Below are 11,952 nucleotides of genomic sequence, written 5' to 3' on the forward strand. Positions count from 1 at the left end.
ACCTTCCATCTCACATGCTCTTCTTATAGTGGGATATTGGTATCCCTCTCATTGAGGAGTGGGGCCTGTCTTCCTTCCCCTTATCTGAGTGGGTCTGTGATTACCTCAGAAGTGACACTATGTGACTTCCAAGGTGGTCATAAAAGGCAAGACAGCTTCCACTTGGCCCTCTTGGGACAATCACCCTTAGAACCCAGCCGCCATGCCCAGGCCCCACGGAAAGGCCACAGCCAGCTAGCTGAGGTCTCAGCTCACAGCCAGCATCAACCACCAGATACATGAACTCGGAGCCTTCAGATGATTCCAGCCCCCAGCCTTTGAGCCACCCCAGATGATGCCATGTGAAACCATGAGAAGCTGTCCCTGCAAAGCCCTGCCTATTACAGATTTGTGAACAAAACAAATGACTGTTGTCATTTGAAGCCACTGAGTTCTAGAATGACTTGCTATGTCGCAAGAGATACGCAGGACAGACACATTTATGTTATGAAACAACCTTTGGCACGCACCTTCAAGTCACAATAGTGGGCAAGTCAGCCCAGAGGCAGTAGGAGAATTCCTGAAGGCTATTTCTGCACTGCAATGTGTGATGGTTAGCATCAATTTTACATGGAAGTGGTTGCAAACCCCTAAACAAAAACTAATTGTATCCTCACTTTCATTTCCCCTTAGCCAGAACCCAAATATGCCTGCAGCTGCTCTTGCACCATCTGACCCAATGGGAGGTGTGTTAGAGGGGAAGTTAAACTGGAAACAGATGGTGGTCTGTACAAAACCTTACTACCCCTGAGCCAAGCTTGGAAGGGGCCAGTGTAAGTAAGGGACCTGAAGCTTAAGCTTTATTAGGTTCGCAGTAAATCCACTTCTGTAGCCAATATTTACTGAATGCTTACAAGTGCTATGTCCTGAGCTAAGCTCTTTACATGAACAGTCATATGTTTTTAGATTATGACCCTCTGGGTAGGTATTATTCTTATCCCTATTCTACAGATGAGAAAAGAGAAGCCCAATATAGGTTTCTGTTAAATCATGAATAATCCAATACATTTGGCATGTATTTATTGGGCACTTGATTTTAAAACCAATAACTATTTGTGTATTATCTTAATTGTACAAAGGATATGCAAATTCATTATGGATGTTATACTTACAACAACACTCCAGGCACAAATCTTTTCCTTTTGTTTTTTTAAGAGATGGTGTCTTGCTCCGTCACCCAGGCTGGAGGGAGTGGCACAGTCATAGAACTCCCGGGCTCAAGGTGATCCTCCCGCCTCAGCCTCCCAAGTAGCTGGGACCACAGAATTGCCTAGCTAATTTTTAAATTTTTTGTAGAGATCGGGGCTGGGAGGGTGTCTCACTGTGTTGCCCAGGCTGGTCTCGAACTCCTGGGCTCAAGGGATCCTCCCACCTCAGCCTCCCAAAGTGCTGGAATTACAGGCGTGAGCCACCACACCTGACCAGGCACAAATGTTATGTCCATTTTGTAGAGATGCAAACTGAGGCGAGGCACTGAATGGAGCTGTGATGAAGACCAAGATGCATTCCTCAATCTTGGGAGTCTGACTGCCTCAAAAAGCTAAGAAATGCTTTTAATTTGGACAAAATAACCAAAGACACTGGAGATGTTAGTGTCACATGAGGGAGGAGCCCTGGAGCACTGTGGGTTGGGCAAACAGGCCTTGAGGTAGAGTCTAAGAAGTGGCCCTCCACTCATTTGAAATTTGAGTATCGCCTTAACATTTCACCTAGTAAGGATGTATTTCCTCTTCTGGAGGACTAATGTGGCCTCTTCGGGTAAAATCATGGATAATTAACAAACATTTACTGAGGGCCTTTTGGGTATAAGACGCAGAGCTAGATTCTAGTCTTATCTTTGAAGAGCTTTAAGTCCTGCTGAGAAGAAAAACCAAGTAACAATAATAATGTTAACCACCACTCCAATTCTTTGAGAATCAGTCACCCTGCTAGGCATTTTCCCCCTACATTATATGTTCAAGCCTCAAAACAATCTTGAGGAGATGAGCATTATTATTCTCCTTTTTAACAAGAGAGAACTGAGGGCTGTGAGTTGCCCCAAGTCCACAGTTAATAGTTAGCAGAATTGGGATTTGAAGCAAAGACTTGCTGTTTCCCTGTCCATATGCCTTTCACTCTGGTTAACGCTATAGAGTTATAATCTAGAAAAGGTCCAAGAGATGTCATGGGAAGCCAGAGTGGAAAAAGCAGGAAGGCATACAGTTGGGAGTCAGAGACATTTCCACAGAGAAGGAATAACCTCAAACACAGAAGGTGGGGCCAATTTATCTGGGCAGAGAGATGTAGAGAGGACATTTGGGGGAGTAGCATGAACAAAGTCAGAGATTGACAGGACATTGGGGTGGTGCACAAGAGGGGGCTTGAGCAGAGGGTGTATAGCAATGATGAGAGATGATTTATTCCTATGCATGTGATGGTTTTTTAAATACTATTATACAATGATGTGTTTTTATTTTCCAATTTTTTCTGTTGCTAATATATAAAAAATGCAATTGGTTTTTGTATATTCACCATGTATCCCATTACTTTGCTAAATTCATCCATCAGTTCCAGTGGTTTGTTTGTAGATTTCCTTGAATTCTTAATATATATGATTGTATCAGCTGAGGACAATGACAGTTTTATTTCTTTCTTTCCAATTTTTGTTTGTTTCTTTTTCTTGTTTTATTGCACTGGCAAAGACCTCTAGTACAATGCTGAATAGAAGTGATGAGAATGGAGATCTTTGTCTTATTCCTAATCTTAGAGTGAAAGCAGTCTTTTATGATATAAGCTGTAGGTTTTTTGGTAGATACCTTTTATCATATTGAAAAAGTTCTCTTTCATTTCTAGTTTGCTGAGAGGCTCTATCCTGAGTTAGCCAAATCTTAAAATTTATAGCCTGTTCCCAGTTGTGCTGTGGGGATTAAGGAGGGTGGTAACTTTTTATTCATCTGTGGAGTATTTATTGACCTGGGTCAATGTTCTCATTTGGGAGACTGGGGAAACAGACAGGAATAGTCATCAGCAGAATATGGCCATGCCCAGTGGAGTGTAGACCTCCCAGGGTCAGTAGCAAACAGAGAGCTGCATGGTGACTAGACAGGGCAGAGCAGAGGGACCATAGAGATTGGTTCCAGGACACAGGTAAGGCAGTACCATAGGGAAGTCTAGAAACAATTGGGGGATGTGGGAAATGGGGATGCTTCTTCCAGCAAGAAGGCCAATGGGGGCTCACCATGATCACTGGGTTTAAAAACCAAGTGTAATTATATTACAATTTAACTGGGTAGAGGAAGCAGTAGTTCATTCTACTTTGGGATGTGAGAGAACTTTTTTTTAAAAAAATTAAATTTTAAAACATAGAAGAAAGTTGAAAGAATAGTGCAAGGAAACCTGATCACCTTCCCCACCTACTATGGTTTGCATGTTTGTCTCTTCCAACACTCATGTTGAAATTTAATTGCCTTTGTAATAGTATTAAGAGGTGAGACACTTAAGAGGTAATTAGGCCATGAGGGCTTCACTGTCATGGTTGAGATTGGTGCCATGTTCAGGCTCTCTCTTGCCTACCCTTTGCTCTTCCACTCTTCTGCCACATGAGGAACAATGTTCCTCCCCTCTCCTTTGGAGGATGCAGTGTTCATGGTGTCACCTTGGAAACGGAGACAGGACCCTTCCCAGACACTAAACCTGACAGTGCCTTGATCTTGGACTTCCCAGCCTCCAGAACTGTGAGAAATACATTTAAATTGTTTATAAATTACTCAGTTTGTGGTATTATGTTATAGAAGCACAAAATAGACTAAGATACCATCCTACTCCATATTCAACAACTGCTAACATTTTGCCACATTTGCCCTATCTCTTTGTATTAGGTTGAGTCAGATGAATTGCCTTTTTTGTTTGTCAAAAATGTTTGAATATCAGAAATTTCACATGGATTAACCTAACATATAAATACTTTGTTTTTGCCAAATCACTTGAAAGTTGCCGCTATCGCTATACTCCACCCCTAAATACTTCTACATACACCTACTAAGAAGAGGAATATTTTCCTGCAAAACCACAATACCATTTTCACATTAAGAAAGTTAATACTACCTCATACATGTGGTAGCCAGTCTCCAAGGTGGCTCCCAGTGGTCCTCGCCTCTTGGTATTCATACCCTTGTGGATTCCATTCCTACAGTGAATAAGGCTGAGCTGGGTAACTAATAGGATACTAAGGAAAGTGATGGAGTGTGATTCCTGAGGCTAGGCCATAAGAGACATTGTGGTTTCTTCCTTGCTTTCTTGGCTCTCTCACTCTGGGAAAGCCAGCTGCCATATTGTGAGGGTACTCAAGTAGCCTATAAAGAGGCCCATGTGGCAATAAAAAACTGAGGCCTCCTGCCAACAGTCAGAACCAACTTGCCAGTCATGTGAGAGAGCCATCTGGAAGCAGATCCTCCAGCCCCAGTTGAGCTTTTGGATGGCTGCAGCCCCAGCCTACATCTTAACTGCAACCTTATGGAAGACCCTAAGCCAGAACCACCCAGTCAATCTGCTCCTGGGTTCCTGATCCATGGAAACTGGATGATTTAATAAATTGTTGTTGTTTTCAGCCACTGAGTATTGGGGTAACTAGTTACTTAGTAATAGGTAGCAATTCAATAGCTAATACATCATCTAACATCTAATTCACATTCAGATTTCCCCAATTATCTCCAAAAGTGTCTTGGAGGTTTGGGGGAGATTTTTAGTTTTGTCGGGGTGTGGCAATCAAGGTTCACACACTGCACTTTGTTACTATGTCTCTATAGTCTTAGTGTCTGGGGTGCGGAGTACTTGTATGAGTGAAGGAAAAGTAGAACTGACCCACATGTGTTAGGAACACCAATGTACCAATGTAACGTAGGATTAAATAACTTGCCCCACATCATACAATGGTAAGTGGTGGAGCTAGGATTTGAACCCCAGCTGTCTGGCTCCAGAGCCCATGCTTTTAACCACTACACCATTCTATCCAAGCCATAGAAATATTTGCTACAGCCTTTTGAAAGAGGTCTAGAATGGTTCAGAAACAAGATTGAAAAGGGATAGAAAACACAAATCCTGTAAGAACCATTAAAAGGAATTCTACTTTATAATGTGGAGGAATTGTGGGGAGAGTAGTTAACCATCTCATTGTGTATATAAAACAAAAAATGTTGATTGGTTTCTCTTCATCTCTGTAAGGGACATAGCTCTATCAGAGGAAACACTGCTCAGCCACATCTACACAGTCTGTTCATGGTGAGGATGAGGAGCCACATAGCGCTGGGACAGGAAAGCTGTCTGGGTAGGATGATTAAAGTCTCATGTCCTGGCAGTAGAAAACTGAACTCTATAATCTCTTGGGGTTCTACTGAACCAAAGGATTTCATAAGCTTTTGTGGCCACTTGTGACTCATTGCTCCCCTTCTATCTTCCTCTAGCAGGCGCTGTTGGTAACCCACCTACCAACACCGCCTCCAGCGCTCATCTCTATACTCTGACAGCTGTGCTGTCCAATAGCATTTTCTGTGATGATGAAAGTGTTTTGTGTCTGTGCTGTCAAATATGGTAGCCACTAGCCACATGTGGGTATTGAGTGCTTGAGATGCGGCCAGTAGAGTGAGGAACTGAATTTTAAATTTTATTTAATTTAAATTAATTTAAATTCAAATAGCCACATGTGCTAGTGGCTACCTATTGGACAACACAGAACTTCTGAAGGGTGTTTACTGTGAGCACCTGCAACTGTTTGCCTGAGGGCTTTTTTTCTGGCCCAGGGAGCATCCCTGCCCCCAGACTTGGGCAATTTGGTGAGTTAAAGAGCCTCCTCCTAGCAGCCTCCCCCAATCAACAAACTGATAAGGCGGCTCGCTTGACTGGGGTCACTCTGAGACAGCTTCACTGGGTCCTAGAGTTCTCCCCGTGGGACCAAGCCCCAGTTGCCAACAGTGGTAAATGACTTGATATTAATGACCTTGTGTTGGTGGTGGTACCCTTCTGTGCTCCCTCCCAAGTGAACTACCTACACTTGAATCTCTCAGGGTCTGCTTCTGCAAGAACCCAAACTAAGACAGGACTGCCCTCAGCTAAGCCCAAATGAAAGAAACAAATGCCCAAGGCATTTGTACCTCTATTTACATACACGGGAAACATGATCGGATCTTCCTTTGCTTTTATTCTCCTTGGAATAGAACTGACATGCAACTCTGCCTTGATGGTGACAACTGCTGGGTACAACTCCATTTGCCTTGAGGACCCCAGGCTGGAAGGAAGCCCAGGATTTGACTGGACCCAACAGAGTCCCTCTGCTCCCTGCCAGGAGAACATGGATTCTGAGAGTGTAGGCGGAGCCTCAGTTTCCAGGTTGGGTTTTATCTTCAAGGTCAAAGTGAGGCTTGCTGAGGAGGCAAGCTCTCTGGGGAGGGTAAGAGCAAAGCTGTGTGGAGTCAGTCTATTGGGAAGGGTGGCTGGCCTAGGTTTGCATTTTATTTTTAAACCTTTTCCCTCAACATGTCCTGTATCAAGGAGTGACTCAGCCATGAGAGGAACATGTTTGAAAACTTTCAAATCAAATAAGCCTCCTTTATTCTGTCTCAGCATCTCTCTCCCCACCTGACCCCATCACTTCATTGACTTCCCTCATGTAATAATGGGCAGTGGGCTCCCAGTAGCCCTCTTGCAAGTAACCATGCCTATTCACATCTGTCTCAGGAATCCTGAGGTCAGAGATCTTTTCTTGTTTTTTCTCTTCTTTTAGAGATGGGGTTTTGCTTTGTCACCCAGGCTGGAGTGCAGTGAGTGGCACTATCACGGTTCACTGCAGCCTTCATCTCCCTGGCTCAAGCTATCCTCCCACCTCATCCTCTAAAGTAGCTGGGACTAGCAGCGCACACCACTATGCCCAGCCAATCTTTTAAAATTTTTTGTAGAGATGGGGTCTCATTTTATTGTCCAAGCTGGTTTTGAACTCCAGGGCTTAGCTGATCCTCCCGCCTCAGCCTCCCAAAGCTCTGGGATTACAAGCATGAGCCACTGTGCCTTGAAAATAGGGCTTGTCCCTTCCTTCCACTATATACAGATATGCACCCTGAATGAAAGCATTTCTTGGACTTAAGTGTTTATTGCCCTGTATTGTACCCCTTGTGAAGAGAGTTTCTTATAAAACTTTGTTGTGATACACCACTCCCCCTTGCTTTCTTGTAGTTTATTTTTTCTAGACAGTTCAGCCAATGGGCTGGAGCTAATAAAAGTGATGGTTTTTTTCTAAAGGATCAGGGCAGTCTGTCAGACAGGACTGAGTGACCTTGGAGAGATTTCCTCTGCCGCTTCACCCAGAGTGTGTGCAGTTCTGGGGACCCAGTGATTACCTGAGGGTGGAGGTTGAGAGAGAGCTTCTTTCTCTGACAGAGGGGCCCCCATCCCTCTGGCTAAAGAGCTGACTGACCCACCGCAGAACACACTGCCAGGGCTGAACGTGGAAAATTTGGAGCTGGTGTAATTGCTTATGTAGTTTTAATTGCTCATTCATCATGCTAACAGGCCCAGAGTGCTGATCGTTTGCAACGTGCTCAGTAATTAAAAGACCAGGGGTGACGTAGGGTAATGGGGAGTGGAGGAGTAAAATGAGGTGACCAAAAGCCAAACCGTATAGCACAGGAGGAAAATGGGGAGATGGCAGCCTGTCTCCTTCCTGACACCAAATGAAGCGTTTTCCACACTAGCATTTCACGATTGTTGGTTTTAACCAGGAACAACATTGCTCTCAGCTTCCTAGGAAGAGAACCGGTCCCTTGACAGCCCTTTTCAGTTTGCAAAGCACTTTCGCCCACAACGTTCCATTTACTCCTAGGTGGTCCAGGGAGTTCCACATGCTTTGGGGCCCACAGTTTTCAGGTGAGGAAAAAGAGGCTCTGTAAGGTCATTTGCCCAAGATTATTAGCAACTGACCACTGGTGGAGTTGACACACAAACTCACCTCTTCTTTAGGGACAGCGAAATATGGGGTTTTCTCTTGGTTTTATCAACATTGCCACAGTAGTTGGATTCTGGAGTGAATACCCAATGGTCTGGGAGGATTTACAATAAAATGTCTATTCCTAGACCCCACAGCAGGTGTCTTGATTTGGGTTCCTTCCCCCAGAAGCAGATCCTGAGTCAAGGATTTGAGTACAAAAAGGTTTATTTAGAAGGCGAAGGAAATGCTGGAAGGGTTGGGGGAAATGAGACACGGAAGGGAAGGCAGAAAATAGACGGCACATTATCCAGCAAGTTACCTCTGTAGGCAATAGGAGCTTAATCTCATTGGGAATCTCTAGGAGACAGAACAGAACATGCCTCACAGTGATCTCACCTGCAGGGTGAGGGAGCTGCGGTATTTACATTCTAGGGAGGTGGGGTTCTTAATTCTCTGTCACTGTCACTTTCAGCCTTCCCTGCAGGGCAGAGCAGGCTCCAGCACCCCCTCCCCAAAAGTCCTCAGGCAAAAGAGATGCAGATTCTGGCATTTGTAGGTTTGGCTGGTGCGGAAGGCCCCCAGGGATCCAGACAGGATGGAGACAGTGTCTCTACAGCAGGCATCTGCCATACTGCCTTAAGGGAGGCTCCTGAGTGCCCCTGTCCGCAACCAACTGTGATATTCATCTGCCTTCACTGGTGGCTCAACTGCTTCTTGAACAATTCGCAAGTTGAAATAGTGTTCCCCTAGGGGAGTTTTCTGTGCATTTATTTTCCTTCTCGTGTCTTCTTACCCTCCCACTAAAGGGGAAGATCCCCTCGCCCCAAAAGCCAAAGAGGAGTTAGTGACTGTTACTGCGAAGAAGGCAGTGGGTAAGGAGGGATGCTAAGGACAACTGGAAATCTGTGATGTGTGCCATTCATTTCATCCACAATTCAGAGAGCATTGTTCTTGTTCCCGGTAAAAGACACAAATAGATGATGTTGACATGTACAGCCTCCTCCAGAAAGTGGGCCCAGGATTCTGCCCAACTCCTGGCTTGATGACTGTATTTCTACAACTTTCTCTTCCACTCAAGAAAGTGCATCAGAAGGCAAACGAGTGTGAGCCATGTTATGATAGGGATAACTTTGAATGTATTCTAATTTATTTAGGCAAATAAATTGAGATTTTTGTATTTTATTGATCATAACAAATTTTGGGGGAGGCAACTTAGCTGATGCGGACACAGTTGTTGAGAACTACTATTCTATACCATCAAAAGGAAATGTGTTTGCTTGTTGTGCATCAAGGGCAAAAAACTCCCTGGAAATAGCTTATGTGCATGCATGGCTGGCTTTCCATCTGTTGATCAATAAATCAATCAACAAATATTGATTGTCTACCTTGTGCAAGGTATCGTGGGGATTTATTGTAAATATAAACATAGTCCCTACCTCAAAAGAGCTCATAGTCTAACTGGGGGTGAGATCTGTAGACATAAAAAGGTAATTTATAACATAAAGCAGCATATAAATGCTGAATGAATGGTGTACATTGATTGGCTTAGGGAGAAATCAACGAAGGCTTCTTGAAGGAAGGGTGATTTGAGCTGGGTTTTGAAGAATAGGTAGGCGTTACACAAAAGAGAAAAACAGAAGGTGTTGTAGGCAAAAGCAGCAGTGCCAAGGAAGAAACACTCCCGGCCTGTTTAGGGCCTATGAGGAGATTTGCCTGGCTACAGTGGGGTGCATGGATGGGACAGGCACTGCCCAAACAGACTGAGTCACCCTATTCAAAGAACCACCCAGTCCTCAGCATTGGAAGTTGGTCGCTTTCCACCCAATGGGAGACAGGTGCCTCCGGCATGTTTATCTGTGTTCGGCAAAGCAGACAGTTTCCAGCCAGGGTCTGTGGAGCTGGCAAGGGTCCCAGGGCCTCCCTGAGCCATGCTACTTAGCTCTGCCAGGGAGGCCTGGCCTCTACTGGCATCTCTGGAACCTGTAAGCCTTAAGCAACTGCAATTCTCTTTGCATCAGGGATATGCAGAAGGGTCAGGTGGGGATAACCTGCCCCCTTGTCCCACACCCCTCCCCGGGCCATGTGGGAGGAGGGCTGCCAGATTTAGCAAATAAAAATACAGCTATATTTGAACCTCAGATAAACAGCAATTAATTTTGTTAGTATAAGTATATCCTGGCCAGGTGTGGTGGCTCACACCTGTAATCCAGCACTATGGGAGGCCGAGGCGGGCCGATCACCTGAGGTCAGGAGATCGAGACCAGCCTGGCTAACATGGCAAAATCCTGTCTCTACTAAAAATACAAAAATTAGCCGGGCATGGTGGCATACACCAGTGATCCCAGCTACTCGGGAGGCTAGGCAGGAGAATCACTTGAACCCAAGAGGTGGAGGTTGCAGTGAGCAAAGATGGTGCCACTGCACTCCAGCCTGGGCGACAGAGTGAGACTCCATCTCAAAAAAAAAAAAAAAGTATATCCCATGCAGTATTTGGAACATAACTTACACTTAGAAATTACTTCTTGTTTATCTAAAATTCTAATGTATCCTGTATATTATCTGGTACCCCTATATGGGAGGGCTTATGACAAATGCATGGCCAAGCAGAATACTCCATGCTCTGGGTATCAGTGGCTAGTTCTGGATTGAGCATGTGACCCAGGGAAACCCTGTCCCCCAAACACACACTTTGACTTTTGTTGGTGTTGCCAGAACTGAAACCTCACAAGCTGTCAGGATGAAGGAAATCTTACAGTCATGGGAGGCCTCCCCCAGGGAGGTGCCTGTCTGACAACGGAGTTCACACAGAAGGAAGTAGAGCTGAGAGAGAAAAAAGATGCCTCAAGACTTTGCTTGATCAGCTTCATCCCTTGAACTTTGAGAATATAGGAGCCAATAGAGTCCCTTTTGAGCCCATGCAGTTTGAGTTGGGAACTCACAACTGGCTCAGAGTTCTTGCCAAATCTGTGGGGCAACATCCCTTCAGGCCCACAGGAACCAAACCTGACTAAATTCAAAGAGAGGGTTGCTCCTGCGACACCTCCATTTAATTGCTGAGCAAACAGAGGTTCCCTGGCCCAGAGCAGCTCAACTGGCCTCTCAGGCACCCTGGGGCTCCTGGGTATGACTCTGAGGTGCCACCTCTGTGATATGATCTTCACCTCTGCCATGTCCATGTCCCCTGCTGGCAGTGGCTGAGGGCCCCTTTGCTTCCCCTCCCCTCACAGGGGTTCTTCTGCTCTTCCTCCCCTCAGGTCCAACTCTTGTTTCTCTAGAAGACCTTCTTTGCCTTTTTTTTTTTTTAAGAGACGGGGGTCTCACTCTGTCACCCAGGCTGAAGTGCAGTGGTGCAATCATAGCTCACTGCAGCCTCTAACTCCTGGGCTCAAGCCATCTTCCCGCCTCAGCACCCTGAGTAGATGGAACTATAGGCATGCACCACCATGCCTAGCTAAATTTTTTAGTTTTTTTGTAGAGATGGGATCTCGATATGTTGCCCAGGCGTATCTCCAACTCCTGGCATCAAGCAATCTTCCCGTCTCGGCCTCCCAGAGTTCTGGGATTACAGGCACGAGCCAACACACCCAGCCGTCTTGTTTGCCTTCTAAGTGAGTCTTCTCTGCCACAGCTTTCTGTTCATTCTCTTCCTCACCATTCTCTTTGTGCTCACTTATAAGGCCCACAGACTCTCTAAACCACGGAGGGCCTGTTGATTCATCCTGGATAGCTCCTGGACTGGGCTAGAAATATTACAGCTGGAGGGACAATGGAGTTGATCCAGTCCAACCCACTCACCATCCCTATCTCGTAGAGGAGGAAACTGAGGTTCAGAGTGATTCTATCATAAGTTACAGGCTGGTCAAAGAATAGGAAAACTACATGGTTTGGGGGAAAACTACATGGATTTGGCTTCAGAAAGCCTGTCTGGTAATTTGGGCTCTACTACACTTAACCTCTTCATG

The 11,952-nt window shown here is 45.2% G+C and overlaps 1 annotated feature.

Annotated features, from left to right (window-relative positions):
- Positions 348-397: an enhancer, noted in NCBI's record as "active region_29541". NCBI's record gives its function as "activates an Ori minimal core promoter by ATAC-STARR-seq in GM12878 lymphoblastoid cells {active_cell/tissue: GM12878}" and the evidence as "EXISTENCE:reporter gene assay evidence [ECO:0000049][PMID:35858748]".

Source organism: Homo sapiens, chromosome X (genome assembly GCF_000001405.40).
Source record: "Homo sapiens chromosome X, GRCh38.p14 Primary Assembly".
NCBI lineage: Eukaryota > Metazoa > Chordata > Mammalia > Primates > Hominidae > Homo > Homo sapiens.